Genomic DNA, 22,294 nt, shown 5'->3' with positions numbered 1-22,294 from the left:
GTCTGAATCCAAAGGGCATCAGCCCAATGGCTAAGATCAGCACGACCATAAACCACAAATAACATCTCCAACCAGAAAGATTCCAAACTCCTTCCGGATCAGAGGCATGGAGCCCCAAGATAACCCGCATCGGGCAAGGAAGATGCCAGTCTCAAGATAACTTTGCTCTGGCGGAAAGATGGCTGCCCCAAGGTAAGCTCGCCTCCTCCCAGAGACATTCCAACCCCGCCAGAAAACTTCTCCCTCAAACAGGAACATTCCAAACTTCTGATAAGGCTCCTCGCCCTTAAACCAATATATGCTCTTAGTCTGTCAGAGAAAGCGCTCCTGACTGAAATCGGCCAGGAGTGCCTCTCAGGTTTTAATTAAGGAAAACCTGTCTTTAACCGCCAGCCACGTTTCGTGTTTCTTTCCTCTTTCTTTAACTTTTAATTTGGTATATTCCTCCTAGTAAATACCTGTGCCAGTGGAATTTGCCTCAACCAAGAATAATAGCTATACTGGAACATCTTAATTGCATGGTTGGCTACAGTTCAAACTTCCTGGTGTGCATGATGCAAGCCATCCCTCGGGCGATCATGGTTTCCTGATTAACCTGGGAAATGAACGCAGATGACTTAATAGATAATTGACTTTTTGTGGAAGGCCCAAAGCCAGAGGGAAGCAGCTGTCCCACCCAGGTGTTTCAGAATATCTTTGGGTGACTCCAACTACCTTTTGCCAAAGGTTTTCTCTTATGTGCACTACCGAGCATATTAAGGAGACTATGTCATCTGTTTTAATTTGTTGGGATTGAGTGTGAGACTGCTTCAAACTATCTACAGATATGTTACATATGTTCATAAAGTCGTACATTCATAATATAAACCAAAAACCTAACTTCTGCTTAAAACACTGGAAGTGATCATTTTAAACATAATGAAAGTTTTCCACTTGAATTAACTACTTTTCATATATTTTTATTACCTTCCTAACATTTTACCTAATTATTTTTGATTTTCAGAATTACTTGAATTTACAAGATTAAAAATAATGCCAAACATCATTGATTAATTAGAGTTATATTTTTTAATCATAAACCCACTTTTTGGTATTTTTCAATAAAAGAAATTTTTAAATATTAAATATTTACAATATTAATTGTTAAAAATTAAAATGATGTTTACTTACTGAAAAATTTTAACAAAGTCATTTGGCCGGGCGCTGTGGCTCAAGCCTGTAATCCCAGCACTTTGGGAGGCCGAGACGGGGGGATCACGAGGTCAGGAGATCGAGAGCATCCTGGCTAACACGGTAAAACCCCGTCTCTACTAAAAATACAAAAAATTAGCTGGGCGTGGTGGAGGGTGCCTGTAGTCCCAGTTACTCGGGAGGCTGAGGCAGGAGAATGGCATGAATCTGGGAGGCGGAGCTTGCAGTGAGCTGAGATCAAACCACTGCACTCCAGCCTGGGTGACAGAGCAAGACTCTGTCTCAAAAAAAAAAAAAAAAAAAAAAAGAAAAAGTCATTTATGGTAATTATACTATTGAAACATCTCATATGTCCAACTAACTGGTATAAACCTTAACCAAAAATACAAATTAATTTAGAAAGGTATTAGCAAGTAGCTGGCACAAGCGTTGCTCTAAGTAGAAAAATGTTTTCAAATTCTGGAACCTGCTCTGTAAAAATAGTGTGTAAGAGGATTCATTCATATAATTTAACAGTATTTGATGAAATCTGTGTTTATGCTGTGTTGGCTTTTTACTTCCTCTTCAAAAAACTCAAAGAAGGAATTTTCAAGAAGTAACATAACTTCCTGATGGGATTCTACTTTGAATCTAAGTCACAGCCTTAGTTGGTGACTAAATGCCAGTCACTAGAACCATCCAGATCCAGCTACTGCTGAAGCTCGCTGTGGAATCTGCCTGGAGCAGCAAAAACAATTCTATTAATATATCAGAGTGTCGACAAAAAGAGTGAAACTCTGTAAAATATTTGAAGAGATTTATTCTGAGCCACATATGAGTGACCATGGCCCATGACACAGCCCTCAGGAGGTCCTGAGAACATGTGCCCAGGGTGGTCGGGGTGCAGCTTGGTTTTACACATTTTAGGGAGGCATGAAACATCAATTAAATACATTTGAGAAATACATGAGTTTGGTCTAGAAAAACAGGACAACTCAAATTGGAGGGCTTCCAGGCTATAGGTACATTTAAACATTTTCTGGCTGACAATTGTTTGAGTTTGTCTAAAGACCTGGGATCAGCAGAAAGGAATGCCTACATTAAGATAAAGGATTGTGGGGACCCAAGTTCTTATTTGCAGAGGAAGCCTTCAGGTAGTAGTAGGCTTCAGAGAGAATAGGTTATAAAATGTTTCTTATCAGACTTAAAGTCTGTGTTCATGTTAATGCCAGAGAGGTACAATGAGAACCCCATTTCCCAACATGGCCTGAAACAGACTCTCAGGTCAAATTTTAAAAGAGCCCTGGCTGAGGAGGAAGTCCATTCAGATGGTTGGAGGGTCCTTAGAATTTTAGTTTTGATTTACAAGAGGAACATTCAGAACTTCCAGGCCAGCTAACCTTGCCATACCTCTCACCCCACCATCTTTAGTCACCACCTGAAAGGGAAGTTCCTCCAGTCATTATTATTATTTATCTGATACCTTCATCTCCATGTAGACCTGTGATGCTTCCCATTGTGGATTGTTCTTTCAACAGACTTCACTATGTTTGCTGGAATTCAAATGTTACCAGAAAGAGTTCCTGATCCAGACCCCAAGAGAGATCTCATGCAAGAAAGAATTTGAGGCGATTCCACAGAGTAAAGTGAAAGCAAGTTCATTAAGAAAGTAGAAGAATAAAAGAATGGCTACCACACAGACAGAACAGTCCTGAGCGCTGCTGGTTGCCCATTTTTATGGTTATTTCTTGATTATATGCTCAACAAGGGGTGGGGGCAGATTATTCATGCCTCCCCTTTTTAAACTATACAGTGTAACTTCCTGACGTTTCCATGGCATTTGTAAGCTGTGATGATACTAGTGGGAGTGTAGCAGTCAGGACGACCAGAGGTGACTCTTGTTGCCATCTTGGTTTTGGTGGGGTTTGGCTGGCTTCCTTTTTTTTTTTTTTGAGACTGAGTCTCACTCTGTCACCCAGGCTGCAGTGCAGTGGCACAATCTTGGCTCATTGCGACCTCCGCCTCCCAGGTTCAAGTGATTCTCCTGCCTCAGCCTCCCGAGTAGCTGGGACTACAGGTGCACGCCACCACTCCCAGCTGATTTTTGTATTTTTAGTAGAGATGGGGTTTCATCATGTTGGCCAGGATGGTCTCAATCTCTTGACTTCATGATTTGCTCGCCTTGGCCTCCCAAAGTGCTGGGATTACAGGTGTGAGCCACCGTGCCTGTTGGCTGACTTCTTTACTGCAACCTATTTTATCAGCAAGGTCTTCATGACCTGTATCTTGTGCCAACCTCCTATCTCATCCTGTGACTTAGAATGCTTAACCATCTGGGAATGCAGCCCAGTAGGTCTCAGCCTCATTTTACCCAGCCCCTATTCAAGATGGAGTTGCTCTTGTTCAGATGCCTCTGACACAAATACTGGAATCTCTTCCTAGTATGATCCCCATTCCCCGCCTTGCTTTGTCAGGAACTAGGCTCCCTCTGGAATCACTGCCTCAGACACCCTATTCAGCGGTGGCTGGTCATTCTCCTAAACTCTGTGGTCAGCCTCCTCCCAGTGCCCCATGGCTACTTTCAAAACTTAAATTTTCAGACAAGGAAACCCACCTGTTTCTCAGACTTATGATGTTTATCATATGCTTTATCACCTCCATCTATTCACAAGATTTCTTATTTATTTTTCAAAGTCTTAGACACCTAGTTCACTGTTGCTTCCATGTTATTATCATGCTAGAAACCTTCAGCACTGGACAGGTAGCACCTCTAACACAGTAGTTCTATCTGTTGACCTTTGCTTTGACCTCCCTTGCTCCAATAGTTACACATCCCCTCTAACTGACTCTAACATGCGCCTAGTTAACTCTTGCAAGCACCTACATTTTGCATTGCTGAACTTCCGTATCCCATTCTCTGATCTTCACATACCCCTATTCTTTCATTGCTTGATTAAAGGTACGCGAAGGTCAGAGAATAGGATACTAAAATTAATTAATTTATTCATAAATTTTATTATTTATGTCTGTATATTGAGAGGTTATTCATGTCACACACTGAGCTAGTTTGGGTTTACAAAGACCAATGAGATGTAGCTTAGGCCTGCTCAGGTGGAGAGGGTATAAAAGTTACTGGGGATAAAGAAGTCAAGATTTGACAAGGATGGGTGCTGATGGGTCAATTACAATTACACTGACGTTGCCAGAATTATGTCAGAATGTAGGTGGAGAAGAAACCTGGGATTTGCATGTGAAAAAGCTCTGTCACTTGCTGCCTTCACTTCCCTTATGTTTTATCCTTACTCAGTTTCTGAGCCTCTCCCTTGATCCTCAGACTATCAGACTGGTCATACTTCCTTCTCTTAGCCCTCAGTTTTTCTCTTGTTACTCTTATCAACTTCCTTCCTCTTCATTCTTTCACAAATAAAAAGATTCACTTCTCTTATACATGGCTAATCTCTTTATATACACCCCAAGTCTTATTTCCTTTAAATTTTGTTCAGACCTCATCCACCAATTATTTCCCTTGCATTATGGATCTTTAATTTCTCCCTGTCTTTTTTGTTACCATATAAATGTACTTAACTCTAATTTCATCATTAAAAAAAACCTCTTGACTCTTTTCTCATTACATGTTCCTTTCCTTTATAGCCAAAATTGTCCTAAGTTTATGGTGGTTCTGTATTTGTCTTAACTTCCCATTCAGTTGTCTACCTATTGCAAACTGATTTACACTATCCACGCCACCAGGCCCTTGAAATTACTGATGGTAGGATTACGAAATCCAAAGAACACCTTTAGTCTTTATTTAGCACGATTGCCAGGAAGCCTTTGATGCTCACAAACAATAATTCACCTCTAAATGCCTCCTGGTTCTTTTTTTTTTTTTTTTTTTAACTTTCTCACCATTCTTCCTTGTTCTCATTCAATTAGCTTCTTTTCCTCCTACAGCTACTTAATATTGTGTTAATAAAAAAAATTTTTTTTCCTCTCTTTTTGCATTCTACTTTCTTTCTCCAGGCATTTTGTCTAAACCAATTACTTCAAATGCATCCATAAACTAAAATTTCCCAAGTCTCTTTCATCACCCAGACTATTTTTCCAAAATTTAGACTCATATTTCTGCCTACAAGTTGTATCCATCTATATATCTTCATGCACTATCAATTCAATCTTTATGCACTATCAATTCAACCTACATATGACTGAAATAATTGTTTTTATCCTTCATTTTGCTTCTCATAATGTATCTCCTAACTTGCTGAAAGGCACCATCATCTACTGAGTCACATAAGACAGACATCTGAGGACTTCCTGGATTCCTCTTCTGTAATCTCTAATTCCGTCAGTTAATAATCCTTGTCACACCTTCATTGTAAATATGTCTCAAAGCTGTGTCTGACTCTTGTTCCACTGCCAGTCTCTTAAATAAGTCTTTCAAACCTATCACATGCACCATTGCATTACCACTTCAATTAGTTTCATTGCTTCTAGCCTTCTCTCTTTTAAATCCTTTATCCACAATTGTCAGATTAGTCTTTCTTTGAAAAATAAAATAACTGTGTCATCTTGTAGCTGAAAAATCGTTCCAAATTCTTCCTGAGCATCAAAATAAAGTCCAAACTACTTGTCAAATAACAGTAAGCTCTTAGTTATCTGGTCTCTGCTTACATTTCCAATTTAATTTCTTTAAGACTTACCCATAAGAACTTTTTACTCCAGCCAATAACAATGTGTTCTCACCCAAAATAATCCAACTAGGCACTTGCCCTATCATCACAATGAATGGACGACCCAGAGACTCGTTACATCTATATCTTCATGACATTTATTTCTCCTTATTTAGGGTGTGACCTCACCTTGGGCTTGCATAACCTATGAACTAAATTAATTATGAATCTATTCAGCACCAGTACAACTCATATATTATAGTTGAAGAAAGAGGAAAAATAAGATAAAATTGATCTTGGAATGCTGACTCATGCCTATAATCCCAGAACTTTTGGAGACCAAGGAGAGAGGATTGCTTGAGGACAGGAATTTGAGACCATCCTAGGAAAGAGAAAGAGACCCCATTGCTACAAGAAATTTTAAAAATTATACAGACCTGATGGTCCATGCCTGTAGTTCCAGCTACTGGGAAGGTTGAGAGAGGAGGATCCTTTGAGCCCAGGAGTTCTAGGCTGCAGTGAGCTATGATTGCACGACTGCACTCTAGCCTGGGTGACAGAGTAAGAACCTGTCTCATTAAAAAATAATTAATTAAATTGGTGTATGAATAAATATAAACTAAACAAGAAGAAAGAGATGGTCTTTAATTAATACCACTCTCATCTTAGCCTTGACACTTTCCTCTGCAGGAATCAAGATGGAATCCAAAACTCTTCCATGGTAAGAACCCTCACCTCCTTCTTCCATCACCCCAAGTCTCACAAACACAATTGACCTTGAAGCCAGGTAGGAGTGTCACTTGTTTTCCTTTACCCTTGTCTGATATGCATATCCAGAAGCCTACAATTTCCAATTTCTCCCTTCCTCCCAAGGCCCATGTCCTTGTTTTGACTAAGCTCTGTTTACACGTATTTCTATCCTTCCTCATATCTTCAGGTTGTTTTATCTGTCTACCTTCCTTATTTTCTTTGAAGTTTCCCTCGGCTTTCTGCTCTAACGCCTGGCTCTACCTGAAAGACGTGGATTTCAATGTGGTTCTGTGGAGTAAAAGTTGTTTTCTTTCCCACATCCCTCAAAACACCACTTTGCAGGTTCTGTAGAGATTCTCCATACTCCTGACTGCCAACCACACGCTATCCTTTCATCCCTCCTAAAGTCCTCACGTTAAAACTCATGTTTTCAGATTCTACCACCTGTTCCCTCACCTTGTGAAAATCATTTATAAACCCCTCAGACACTCAACCTTATTTTTTGAAAATTTGTATCTTCTTATTCACTGTCACTCTTTGAACTCCACTGCTGTCATAATCTCCTGTGATTTTGACATTTACATAGATGATAAATATAATACCATAGTTCCTCCATTGTTTAAATCTCCTCCTATCCAATGATCCTGCCTTCTACTATATCTCTAACACTCCCTCTCTTAATCATAGCATAAACTTTGTCATTGTCATTAATTGCACACTTTCCAAACTCTAAATTTCAAGAATCCCATACTCCAATCACTTTATTCTATTTTTCTCATCCATTCCTTGTGATGTTCCAATTGAAAAAAATCATTTGGCTGGGCCAAAATAATCAGCTGGGCTCACCCTGTCCTCACTAACTTCATTCCTTTCATTGTTTCTCTTTCTAGCTTATCCCTAACCCATCTTTATAATCACTTTCTTACACACACTCTCAGATAACTTGCTGATCCCTTGCTTCATTGTGATGAACTGGAAAAGTCCCATCCTAATTAAATCTAACCCTCCACCCATTCTGCACCTGCACCCATGCACCTGAGCAAAGTCTAGAGAGACACATCAGTACTTTGAGTCATCTAACTTTTTCATGACCCTTGCTGCTGCCAGAAAGTCTCTTATATTTCTCTTGTCCATTTTTCTCATCTCTCACTCTCCTGGATGACTCGTTCATATCTTTTTTGCCTTCAAATTTTCACTATTTCCTTTTCCATCTTCACTCTCCACTGAGAGCCTTGCTCCACTGGAAAAAAAAAAGTAAGATATCAGAAAAGAATCACAAACTCTCCAGCTCACAATTGCCATCTGCATGTGCCGCTTACTCTGCCTTCCTTTGTAGTTGTAATGAACTATTTATTTGTTTCAGGTTCCTTGTATTTAGATTCCAGATTTTATCCCTTCTTGCTCACTTAAGGAAGGGGTTCAAGAAATGTCCCTCTGTTTTCTATACATTATTATTTTTACCTTCTTCATTGAATCATTCCCATCAGTGTAAAAACATGTTAGAAAACACAGTCTCTTCTGATCTTATATCACATTCCAGCTTTCTATCTTTTTTTGTTTAGTTTAGTTTTGTTTTTCTCTGAGATAAACTAGGAAAGAAAGAATTTGCAATTTTACTGTTGCCAATAACTTTTCTCTCTAGGCTTGAATTTTAATTGCTCCCTGGAGCCTGATGACCTGGTTAAAGGTCTGGGAGCAATGATAGCTGGTAGGTGTAAAACATGGAGAGAAATGGCTGCCCAGTGCAAGATGCTATTACACATGATTTATAACTAGGTCTTTTGGCAATGCAGGCCCAGTCCCTTCACAGAAGGCAAGATGGTCTGTTTCTGCCGGCTGGCTTGGTAAGATTTAATATGTCATCTCAATATTCCCAAATCACTATTTTAATTCTAATGTCTCCTTCTTCTCTGATGATTTATCTAACATAATGAATTCAATTTGTGTTATAATTGAGTAATAAACAGAATCAGACTCTGAAGTTGACTTTTGCCAAATCAGCTTTAAGATTAAAGAATATAAGGTATTATTTAAGTCGATCTTGGAAAACTTTAAGTTCTCTGCTAACACCTTAGGTGGAAAATTTTAAATGCTGACTTTTCACTTTCTAACGTTGAGCTCTCCATCGAAGCTTACAGCCTTTCTAATCCTTGAGACTCCAATAATGGTCTGTTTCAGTAGTTACCTTGTTCATAAACGACTTGCCTTTATTTGGCATCTCATACCTGCCCTATCTTCGAACGTTAATTGGCTTCTCACTGCCTTCAGATCCAAATACTTGAGGTAGACTTTTCCAAATTCCCATTTTCCTGAAGGTCTGTTGCATGTAACCAATTCTATCAACCAAGATGGTGGTCATTGTTCAGTTGTTAACAATAGAAATGATGTTAGCTGATTTAGCCCAATACACACTTGGTACAAGGACTTAGGAGTTTACAGAGTTGTTGGAAAGCCTGGAGACTGCATTAGACTGAGTTCCTAGAAACAATCCCCATTCATCAATTATTCATTTTCTGTTGAAGTTAGTGATCTCCCCTTTAGAAAGCTGGCAATCAGGTAGCTGCTGCTCCTCCTCCTGACTGTTAAACCACACTGTGTGGGCCATGTTTGGTAAAACTGCTGCTGCTGCTACAGTGAGCTGATGAATGCAAAGATGCTGATGATGCCACATCTTCCATGGTCTTGTCCAACAAAGTGGATACATTCCACCAAGCCTGTCTCTATGATTCAGTTCCTAATCCAGGTATCATGGGAATGCATCTGAAAGGTAAAATCAAAATCAGATGCCAAACTCGAGCTAGAAGTCGTGGGAAAAAAATTGTTAATTTGGTTTTCTATCTTTCAACTCTGTAAAGGGTTGGAATGGGTGTTGGTAGACCCAATCCGAGAATCCAAAACAACTGTAAACACAATTTTAGGGCCACTGATTACTGTTGTGAAGGTGAAATTATAGTTGTTACTCTTCCCATATCCCTGCCTTCAATTACTTTAATGTCTCTGACATTTACTACTACCCTGGATTACAGATTTCACATCTCACCTAAACAGTTTTGTTAGTGACCTCATCATATTACGATATATGAGTTTTCATTCTCTTGTGATTCATGAACTAGTTCTATTTTCCTAACAGCCATTCTCTGTTTTTCAACATCAACCATGCATGCCTCTGATTCTAAACTCTTTACGATTATAGGAATGCCAAACAAGAAAAAAAAATGAATGAATGTACAGGGAAATGTGGGGTGGAAAGAAATTGGGTGATAAGTTGTTTAGCATCTGTTTGCAAAATAAGATAGGGAGCAACATTATCTACTGAGATGGCAAAGAATGGGAAATAGATCTTAGATTTGGAAAAGATGAGAAAGATCAGAATATTGTAGAAACTATTTCTAGTGATTACTAAAAGTTTCAGTTCTCCCTCTAGTTCACAGCGCTATGCTTCCATTACTTGTGGTAGAGAACCGTGAAGGCTTGTTGTGACAGACGCACTATTAAAGGGCACAGAGTCCATCTCCCTGGGTCAGCAAAACCATCCCCTACCTACATGAACGAGCATGAGATCTATAGCATTTGTTATTTTAAGCCAGCAACATTTTGAGATTGTTCATGAAGGAAAACACAGCCTATTCTGTCTTTTTCAAACATCAACTCAGCTAATTGTCACAGGAATGCTGAGAAAAAGTGAAGATGCTGCCAGTTTTTTAAATTATGAGAATTGACATTGTTAGTTGTTTATTGATGATTCATTTATTGTTCTTTTTTACTCACAACAATGTTTGATAGCTGAGGTATATGAGATAATGTTTACTCAAGATTGTGCGTGTATTTGTAAAATATTGCAAACTATTAGAAGACAAGGGATTGATTCTAAGTCCTTAGTAAAATTATTGTTGAAATGATTCATGGTGAAAACCAGGAAATGAAGAAATAAAGCTAGGGGAGTTCTCAAAGATGATAAGAAAAAACATTTATAGAAGAAGTGAAGGTCATAATGACAGTGAAGATCTGGTTCAATGCGGGAAAGAGAATGAATGAAGTACATGATATTGTTATAAAATAATTTTCTAGTACAGGATATGGAATGAAAGTAGTTCAAGTGATGGTGTGGGCCAAGGTATGACAGCACGTAAAGGACAATAAAATGAAACTGGGTGGAAGTTATTGAAATGGAGGAATTCTATGGAGTTTAACAAGTTGTAGGTGGGGAGATCCATTAACATAAGCATTGATGTTGGTCACTTTGATCACAGGAGTTGCTCCAGAGAGCAACCCTGTGAGCCACCATGCAAAATAATACACTTCAAATTTGCATATCTCAGTAAAGTGTTCATGTGATTTAGAAAATGCAGACAACAGAAGTTTTTCTATACATTTCTGTGCTCCTCTAATCTTTCTATGCTTTTAAAAATAGCTCAACACTTCCCCAGGATATTTTTAAAATTTGCATATACTTAAAAAGTATCAGTTGGAATAACTAGTTCTTCCCCTATGCTATCCTATGACATGTCTAGTACCTCAAATAAAGCATAAGATGAGTACTTCTAGAATTTCTATAGCCCAATATTTGATATTAATAATGATTGTTTTGAATTTGAATGGAGCCGCATGGGAATATATAGTGACTTCAAAAGAAAAATCTAGCCAGCCACTGAAGCAAATCTAAATTAGGATAGAAATAGGATACCTATGAATGGGACCAGCTGAAGACAATTGCTGCTAGAATGATTACTTCATTCATCAATTTCCGAGTGCTGAGTGAACCTCTCTGACTAGCAGGTTCTTTTCAGGATTTGAAATCACTGACGTCTATTATCCATCTGTTATGCTTTTTAACTTTTAACAAAGGATAAAGATGATGCTATTAACCCACATAAAGAAATTTCTCTCTCTGCATCTCTCTTATGGAAGTTTGGAGAGTAAAATTTGCATCTTTGCTTATAAGTTGGGATGGGTTTACTTCCATGCTTATGTATAAGCCAGCTCATAACATGCAGACAAAGTCCATTTATTATAGTATCACTTGGGAATGCAGAAATAGATAATCACTCAGTATAGACTATGCTTGGATTTTTGTTACTTCTCATTACGTGGAATCTTGTCTCTAAAGTCCAAGTGAAAATAACACACTGTGAGTAAGTGATGGCAATTTAATTTATGTAATGACAGACTAGGTAATAAAAATAAGTCTTTTAAAGGATTACTTGTTTTTTTCTTGCTGATTTGTTTGAGTGTTTTGTAGATTCTGGATATTAGTCTTTTGACAGATACATAGTTTGCAAATATTTTCTCCCATTCTGTGGGTTGCCTGTTTACTCTGCTGATTATTTATTTTGCTCTGCAGAAACTTTTAGTTTAATTAGGAATCATTTGTTTATTGTTTTTGATGCATTTGCTTTTGGAGTCTTAGTCACGAATTATTTGTCCATGCCAATGTCCAGAATTTTTCCACTGTTATCTTTGAAAATTTTTATGGTTTCAGGCCTTCATTTTAAATCTTTGATGCCAAACTTGAGCTAGAAGTTTGGGAAAAAAATTGTTAATTTGGTTATTAAATCATCCTGAGTTGATTTTTATAAAAGGTGAATGATGGGGATCCAGTTTCATTCTTCTGCATGTGGCTTGCCTGTTTTCACAGTACAATTTATTGAATAGAGTGTCCTTTCCCAATTTATGTTTTTGTTTGCTTTGTTGAAGAACAGTTGGCTGTAAGTATGTGGCTTTATTTCTAGGTTCTCTATTCTGTTCCATTTGTCTGCCTATTTCGTAAATCAGTACCATGTTCTTTTGGTGGGCAAAGGACGTAAATAGACAATTCTCAAAAGAAGACATACAAATGGCCAACAAACATATGAAAAGATGCTCAGCATCACTAACCATCAGGGAAATGCAAATTGAAACCACAATAAGATATTACCTTACTCTCACAAGAATGGCCATAATTAAAAAGTTGAAGAACAATTCATGTTGGCATGGATGTGGTGGGAAGGGAACACTTTCATGCTGATGGGAATGTAAATTAGTGTAACCTCTATGAAAACAGTATGGAGATTATTTAAAGAACTAAAAGTACATCTACCATTTGATCTAACAATCCCACTATTGGCTGTCTACTCAAAGGAAAAGAAAGCCATTATACGAAAAAGACACAAGAACACACATGTTTATAGCAGCACAATTCACAATTTCAACCTAACTGCTCATTGACCAATAAGTAGTTAAAGAAAATGTGGTATATATACACCATGAAATACTACCTAGCCAGCCATAAAAAGAAACAAATATTGCAGCAACTTGGATGGAGCTGGAGGCCATCATTCTAAGTGAAATAACTCAGGAATGGAAAACCAAACACTGTAAGTTGTCATTTATACATGGGAGCTAAGCTATGAGGACTCAAAGATATACAGAAGGATATAGTGGACTTTGGGAGCTCAACAAAGGGAGGAATAAAAATACTACATATTGGCTAAAGTGTGCATTGCTCAGGTAATAGTTGCACTAGAATCTCAGAATACACCATGTTGTTGTTTGGCTCTGTGTCCCCACCCAAATCTCATCTCAAATTGTAATCCCTATTGTTGAGGAGGGATCTGGTAGGAGGTGATTGGATCCCAGGGGCAGTTTTCCCCCTTGCTATTCTCCTGATAGTGAGTGAGTTCTTACAAGATCTGATAGTTTTAAAAAGTGGCAGTTTCCTCTGCATGCTCTTTCTCTCCTGCCACCATGTAAGACATACCTTGCTTTCCTTTTGCTTCCATCATGATTGTAAGTTTCCTGAGGCTTAAACACCAGAGATGTAAAACTGTGAGTTAATTAAACCTCTTTTCTTTATAAAGTACCAAGTCTCAGGTAGTATGTTTACAGCAGTGTGAGAACTGAGTAATACAGAAAACTAGTATCAAGAGTTGGATACTGCTATAAAGATAACATAAAAATGTGGAAGGGACTTTGGAACAGGCAGAGGTTGGATCAGTTTGGAGGGCTCAGAAGAAGATAAGACCATGTGGGAAAGTTTGGAACTTCCTAGAGACTTGTTAAATGGCTTTGACCAAAATGCTAATAGTGATATAGACAATGAAGTCCAGATTGAGGTGGTCTCAGATGGAGATGAGGAACTTATTGGGAACTGGAATAAGAGTCACACATGCTATGCTTTAGCAAAGAGACTGGCAAAATTTTACCCCTAATTATCTGTGGAACTTTTGACTTGAGAGACATAGTTTAGGGTATCTGGCAGAAAAAAATTCTAAGCAGCAAAGCATTCAAGAGGTGACCTGTCTTATTCTGAAAGCATTCAGTAATATGCATTCACAAAGAGATGATTTAAAATTGGAGCTTATGTTTAAAAGGGAAGCCGAGCATAAAGGTTTCAAAAATTTGCAGCCTGACATTGCAGTAGAAAAGAAAATCCCATTTTCTGGAGAGGAATTGAAGAGGGCTGCAGAAATTTGCATGAATAAAGAGGAACCAAATGTTAATAGCCAAGAGAATGGAGAAAATATCTTCATTTCAGGTCAGAGGTCTTCTCTGAGGCAGTCCCTCCCATCCCAGACCCAAAGGCCCAGGGGGGAAAAATGAATTCATGAGCTGGGCCCAGAGCCATACTGCTCTCTGCAGCTTCAGGAGTTGGTGCCCTGCATCCCAGGTGCTCCAAATCCAGCCATGGTTAAAAGGGGCCAAAGTACCACACTTGCCGTTACTTCAGAGAGTGCAAGCCTTGGGGCTTCCACATGGTGTTGGGCCTTTGGGTACACAGAAGACAAGAGTTGAGCTTTGGGAACCTCTGCCTAGATCTCAGAGGAAATGAAATCTAGGTAGAGGTTCCCAAACCTCCTGGAAAAGGAAGATGTCCAGGAAATGCCTGGATGTCCGGGCAGAAATCTGCCACAGGGTTAGAACCCTCATGGAGAGCCTCTGTTAGGGCAGTGTGGAAGGGAAATGTAGGGTTGGAGGCCCCACACATAATCTCCACTGTGGCACTGCCTAGTAGACTGTGAGAAGAAGGCCACTATCCTGCAGGCCCCAGAAAGATAGATCCACCAATAGCTTGCACCATATGCCTGGAAAAGTCACAGGCACTCAATGCCAGCCTGAGAAAGCAGCCACAGGGGTTGTACCCTGGAGAACCACAGGGGCAGAGCTGCCCAAGGGCATGGGAGCCCACCTCTTGCATCAGCATGACCTGGATGTGAGACATAGAGTCAAAGGAGATTTGGAAGCTTTCAGGTTTAATGACTGCCCAGTTGGGTTATTTGTAATGGGAACACTTACCTAATTCCTACACCCTCATTGTATCTTGGAAGTAACTAACTTGCTTTTGATTTTACAGGCTTATCGGCAGAAGGGATTTGCCTTGTCTCAGATGAGACTTTGGACTTGGACTTTTGAGTTAACGCTGGAATGAATTAAGACTTTGGGGCACTGTTAAGAACACATGATTGGTTTTGAATTGTGAAAAGACATGAAATTTGGGAAGGGCCAGGCGGGGGATGGAATTATATGGCTTGTCTCTGTGTCCACACCCAAATCTCATCCCGAATTGTAATTCCCACGAGTCAAAGGAGGGGCTTGATGGAGGGTGAGTGGATCATGGGGGCAGATTTCCCCCTTGCTGTTCTCATGACACTGAATGAGTTCTGAGGAGATACGGCTGTTTGATAAGCGGTGCTTCCACCTTCTCTCTGTGTCTCCCTGTCACCTTGTGAAAAAGGTGCCTGCTTCCCCTTCACCTTCTGCCATTATTGTTAGTTTCCAGAGGCCTCGCCAGCCATATGGAACTGTGAGTCAATTAAGGCACTTTTGTTTATAAATTACCCAGTCTCAGGTAGTATCTTTATAGCAATGTGAAAACAGACTAATACCCACCACTATAGAATTTATCCATGTGACTAAAAACAACTTGTACCCCAAAAGCTATTGAAATAACAAAGAAATGAGGCTTTGGCCTTCTGTACCTGATAGAAAGGGAACACTACAACTTACTTTCAAGGAGGAAAAAAAAGCATGTTGAATCCAGAAATATGCAATATATGTGGATGATTTGAAGACAGTAGCCTATTGACTTTCTTTAGCCCTTTGATTTTCATGAGAAGGCATACTGAACAGTAATTCTAAATCAATATTTCTGCTTTCTAAACTAAGATGTTTACAGCTTTCTATGACACAATAATGTGCCTTGTTATAGATTCACTTGCACTTGAACTGACGGAAGTAGGGACTTGTTGAAAAAGGAAGATCTTAGCAGTGGAAAGAAATGTGATAAAATAAACTCACTTGGATATACAGGAACAAAGTGGTATAATTGAAGAATAATGAAGATGTCAATTACTTAAGATTGATGAAGATTTTTAACACAGAAATAGAGGCAGGCTGAAGTATACTTTTCTCAGTTTAGTTTGTGAGAATGGTAAAGGAGAAATTAACAAGCCTGTGTTAATATAATGTCAAATCACTCCATCAATCAGTTTACTGTTTCACTCAATGAAATGAGTAGTTCATTTAAAATAATTAATTTTAACAGAAAAATCAGGGAACATTTGATTGAATATTTTACTTTTTAAATATCATATAGTCACATTTTTTAGAAATTGGCAAGACAGAGTAATGCCATACAAGGAGAGAATTAACATAACATAGTGAAAATCACCAATGACATTAAGTAACTAACACAGCCATCTGTCCTAGAAGAAAAGAAAAATGGTGAGTTCCAAGATTGTTGTCTATTAAGAAACTCTGAAAACTTATGTACCATTTAACACATTAATTATAGCTAATGTCAAGCAATGCAACAGGAAAAACTAATTAAACCAAATATTTTGTTCATTTCAGAAAGAAATGTCAGTATAGTTTAGTCTATTATTCACTTAGAATGTGCAGAAGAGATAGAGACTACAGTCCTGGGATGAAACCATAAAAGACAATAGTGTCCATGTACTGCTTTTGTCCTATTGTGTAAAATTTCCCCCAAAATCCCTAGGTCTGAAGCAGGCAAATACAGATAGAAAATAGGAGGACCAAAATGCCATACCTCCCATGTATAAGAGGAGAGGGGAAAATTCAAGATGAGAATTATATACTCAGTAAATAATAGACTGCTAATATATAGCTTTCTGGGCAAATAATAATAATAGGTCACATTAATGACCAACTCTGTTATTATAAAAAAAGTATGCATCCAATTTATGGTTATGTGATGCAATTTAACATATACACTCTACAACAGTGCTTTTCTAATTTTAATGTACAGATGAGATCTGAGCTAAGGTCTGACATGAGATTCTGTGTTTCCAAGAAGCTCCCAGGTGACACCATTGCTATTGGTCTATGACACTTTAAGTGTGAAGCTCTTATGTAAACTAAGATGGAACTTTAGACTTATAAGGTACCTTAAGTGATATAAATATAATGTCTCATTTTATAGGTGAATAAGAAAAATCTCAGAGCAATATGATGACATAATGCTCACAATTTTTTATTCACTGACTTGATATTAAAACTGAAAACCTAGACTCCTAGTCAAGTGTTTTTGTTTTTTGGGTTTTTTTTTTATTTTGTTTTGTTTTTTTCTGCAGGCACTGAGTGGAAGCCACCTAGAAACATAATCCTAAAAAACATGTGTTGGTGACCCATATCGATAAACTTTTAATTTAAGATATGATAATGCCAATTTTAAAACTAAATTCGAAGCATCATTTTGATACAGACAGGAGGCAGGAAAATACTGGGTAGAAGAGGGCGGCGTCCCTGGCGAGGGCTCCACCCTCAAGCCTGGACCCGAGGTCCTAAATGAGAACAGTTATCCCTGTTTTCCCGCCTAAATGTTACTTTTTTGGCTCACCCTGCCCACCTGTCCTGTACCCATATAAACCCCAGACCTCAGCTGGCAAAGAGACAAGCAGCTGAATGTCGAGAAGAGAAGAAGCAACTGAGCATCGGAGACTACAGATAGATGCGGCTTAACTTCCGATGACACGACTTCGGAAAGAAGCCCAGCGCAGACGGCCAGGCTTCGGGGAAAGATCACCTTCTTCCCGCACCATCCGCTCGTCATCTTCCCTTCCACTGACAGCCACTTCCACCTCTTAATAAAATATCCGCATTCACCATCCTTTAAGTCCATGTGACCTGAATCTTCCTGGATGTCGGACAAGAACCCGGGTACCACGAGGGCAGAGTTTAAAAGGCTGTCACCCCGAATCTCCACTGAGCTGATGAACCCTTAGCTGTCCACGGATGGCAACTGCTAAAAGAACATTAATTGTGACACTCGCCTAGACGTTATCAGGGGGCCGGAGCCCAGAAGTGCTCGCCCCGGACCCGGCACCCGCTCGCCTGTGTGCTCCCCTTCCTGCAAGGGGTTTGAGCGTGGTGGTGGCAGAGTAAGCGAGCTGCACCCCTGTCGCAAGTCCTGCGAAGGTGTCAAAGGAACTCTCCCGTCTCAATTTCAAAGTACTGTTTACCTTGGGAGTATTTTAAAATTCTTATCTCTCTGATTCCAGTTCCCATTTGACTTTTGTCCACTGCATTTGTTTTGTCTTGTTTTGTTTTGTTTGACACAGAATCTGGCTCTGTTGCCCAGGCTGGAGTGCAATGGTGCTATCTCTGCATACTGCAACCTCCGCCTCCCAGGATCAAACGATTCTCCTGCCTTAGCTTCCTGAGTAACTGGCAGGCACCCACCACCATGCCTGGTTAATTTTTGTATTTTTAGTAGAGACAGGGTTTCACCATGTTGGCCAGGCTGGTTTTGAACTCCTGACCTCAAATGATCCACCGGCCTCAGCCTCCCAAAGTGCTGGGATTACGGGCATGAGCCACTACACCTGGCCTGTCCATTGCATGTTTACTTTCACAACAAAGTCTATCTAAAATAGTAGCTCAATTCATCTTTTAGCAGCACATGTGTCTTTGTAAAATATGTAGGCCATGTGTAAGACACCTTAAAAATATGTCTCCAAAAGTAAGTTGAAGCTATAAAACTTCAAAAGGTAGCTTTCAACCTTTACTTGCCATGTTAATTTAACAAGCAATTATTGAGCAATTAGTTAGGCAGTATTTCCAAAGAAATGCAAAGTGTGACATCTGCTCTCACAAAAATTTTAATTCAGTGGAGGAGATAAAGCATAAATGCAGGAAAGAGTTAAACAATAATATGTAGTATATGCTTACGATGTTCAAAGTAGAGAGAAGAGTGGATTGTAGACATTGTGGAAAGTAAACTGAAACTTAAATTTGGTCATAAAGGAAAGAGTAGACATTCAGGAAGAAAGGAATCATGGTGGAAAATCACTACCTGGCAAATAAAGTATGTACATAAAATTCAGGATTCAGGGCCAGGTGCAGTGGCTCATGCCTGTAATCCCAGCACTTTGGGAGGCCGAGAGGGGTGGATTGCCTGAGCTCAGGAGTTTGCGACCAGCCTGGGCAACACGGTGTAACCCTGTTTCTACTAAAATACAAAAAATTAGCTGGGCATGGTGGCGTGTGCCTGTAGTCCCAGCTACTTGGGAGACTGAGGCCAGAGAATTGCTTGAACCCGGGAGGCGGAGGTTGCAGTGAGCCAAGATCACGCCACTGCACTCCAGCCTGGGCAACAGAGTGAGACTCTGTCTCAAAAAAAAAAAAAAAAAAAAATTCAGGATTCAATGGAGAAAGCAACTGAGAGTGTGGAAGGAAAGGTGCCATGCTTTAGCCCTGCATGCCATTCTCCTTCTCATTGTTCCGCATGTGGACAGCTTGACAGTGGAGGACACTTGCAACCTGAGACATTCACAAGGTGAATTCACAAGGAGCAAGGACAGGTGATGAGGAATTTTGCCACACTGCCTTACACCCGCCATGTGATATGTCTTGGTGGATGTGCACACGTGCTCTTCAGAAGGTTGTGCATTTTGGATTTGTTGTATTTATTGTCACATAGGAGGAAGATTATTCAAGCAGACTGAGTTGGTAGGTAATATTATCTGTATCTATATCCACACCAATTTTTAGTGTATTGTCCTATCAATTACTGAGAGGGGAGTGCTAAAATCTCTAACTTTATTTGTGGATTTGTTTATATCAAAAGTATTTCTGTTAGTTGTTGCTTCATTTATTTTGATACTCTATTAAAAGGTACCAACACATTTAGGACAGCCATGTCTTCTTGATGAACTGACCATTTTAGCATTATAAAATGCCTCTTATTTCTGGTAATACTTTGTCTTTAAGTTCACTTTGCTGGATATTAATAGAACCATTTCAGATTTTTCATGAGTGTTTTTATGGTATGGGTTTCCATTTAATAAAAATTCTAGCTAATATTTTTATGGTTAAATCATGATATTCATTGGCCTCAAACATAATTCTCATTTGAAGATAAAGAGCAACTACACCGTTAGTCGTCTTCAATTAGTTCAACTAAACTAAGTTGTTTGTAGACTGCATTTTCAGAGAATGTGGTTTGTTATTCTCAAGCCAGTTCCTGTCAGGGTATTTTTTTTATATAGTAGTTCATTTAGTGTCAATGACAAATAAATTGCTTGTTGCCTCAGAGTTATATGGTGAGTACATGTTTGTATATGGGTTCTCTCTTTTCCTTACTTTAAGCAAACTGAGGTGATTTTTTTTCCTGTGTAGTTTGATCTAGCACGTGGTTCAATACGTGTCCAGAAAATATATGCTGGGTAAATGTGTTGCCTCTCTGTCATTGACAATAGTAGAATGGTTATTTTGATTAATTTGAAATATTTGTAAATGTAAGTGAATTCCAGAATTTTAGAAAAAAAATCCAAGGACTTATCAAAAGATTATCTAATTCCATCTACTGTTTCTCCTTCTGATTTTCCATGTTTATCTTCTAATTCTTTTCTCTGCACCACCAAATTGATTCATTTCCCTTCCTCTTTAGTTAGCCTCTCCCTCTCTGTGTTTTACTCAGTGACTCATATAAGAATTAAATCCCTCCACAAAATGCCAAACCCTCCCATAATTCCTTCTCCCTCAGATCTGTGTTTAGCTTCCTCCACCTTTGCTGATACTCCCAACATGAATTATTAGTCAGTTAGACTTGTGCAGGCCAGTCTTGCCCTGCTCCCCATCCTCAAGAGGGCATTCTGTTCTCTGAGCAGGTCCACAACCTGCCATTGCAGAAAAAGGTTCTATTTAAATTTGTTGTGTAATATATAGAGACAAACCCTGCAACCTTGGTAAGTAGACATTAAAATTCTGTTCTTGTAAAATGAAGAGACAGATAAGGCTAGCTCATGTGGTTTGAGCCCTGTCCTAAGTATCAATTCATAGTGACCAAATGAGCTTCATTCTATACCAAGGCTAACCTTGCCAGAGAATCACATTGCTTCAGGTTCAAATTTTGCTGGAGTTACTCCAAGAAAATGATTTAACCCCTCTGTCACTCATTTGGCTCATTAAAAAAGGAGAATGCACATGCCAATTTTAAAAGTATGTGTTTAGGCTTAAATGTAATAATTATGTAAAGTGCTTACCAGTGTCGCTGTGGTGGTAAAGAGAATAGAAGCAATAGTTGCATTTATAACAGACACTATTTTTCTAGTATTTCAGTGCTGCATACTAATCTCTGTGCAAATTACAGAAGCAGGCATGTCCAGGAAGTTCTAACAGGTGAGCCATTCGTGTCTCCCAGGCCCTCCCAGGAGGGTGGGCCGTAAAGGAGTGAAAACACTTCAAGAAAGGGATAGTGAAGCCTCCTGATCTCTGACTGAAGAAAAGGGTTTTCCTACCATGGGAACAAGAACAAGTAGTTCACAATGAGAGACCCTCATCTCCTTATGTCCCCCTGTAGTCATGCCAGTTCTTTAGGCAGAGAGATTTATTAGGAAGGAACACTGGAAAACAGAAGGCCACCCGACTAAATATGTCTGCAGATATAGACAGCTTTGGTAACTCTACAGAAAAATGAGACTGAAGATAAAGCTGGCTCACATGGAAGCTTGGTGGGAAGTGCATTGGAACCTTGAGCAGATAAGAAAGGGCCCAACGCACAAGACTTAGAAAAGCTGATAGGAGCAAAGAATATGAATCTCAGTAGCCTAGTCAGTGAGTCAATCCTCGCTAGTCCACGGCAGAAATTAGAAACCCTTCTGTGGTCCTCCATTTATGGCACACACAGGACATTTCTTAAAAAAAAAAATAGATTTAAAGGCTACACTGCAAACCATTAAAGCAGAACCTCTTGTGATGGTGCTTTCTAGTGTATTTTATTTGGTTTTCTTTGTTTTTTCTTTCCGTTTTTTTTTTTAATTTTTAATTTTTCTCACGATTTCTTGTGTATTGTAAACCATCAGTGGGAGGAAAAGAGGCTATAATGTTTGAAGTAAAGTGGTAGGCAAAAGGACCACTGCGTTCAGCTCACTTAGGAAATCCATACATTAGCTTAAACAGATTTGAAATTCTTTCCTATTCCTAAAATCTGTGAAAGGAGATGGAACAAAATAAATAGTAATGGTTTATGTACTTGTGTACTGAAGGAGTAACTTCAACATGAAGTGACTTGAAGAAACATAGGTTGCTGGCAATGTCTGATAATTGTCCACTGCAAACTATTTTAAAAACATAAATGGTAATGATAAATTTACATTGCAATTTTTGTGAAGGGAAAGTAAACATTATGCATTTACTATTTCTAAATTTACTGAAGTGTGTTCCCTAGGAAAATGGGCCAGAGTATATCATTTAAATTGAATCTT

The sequence above is a fragment of the Homo sapiens genome, chromosome 21 (genome assembly GCF_000001405.40).
Source record: "Homo sapiens chromosome 21, GRCh38.p14 Primary Assembly".
Lineage (NCBI taxonomy): Eukaryota > Metazoa > Chordata > Mammalia > Primates > Hominidae > Homo > Homo sapiens.
Note: the sequence above shows the minus strand (reverse complement) of the source record.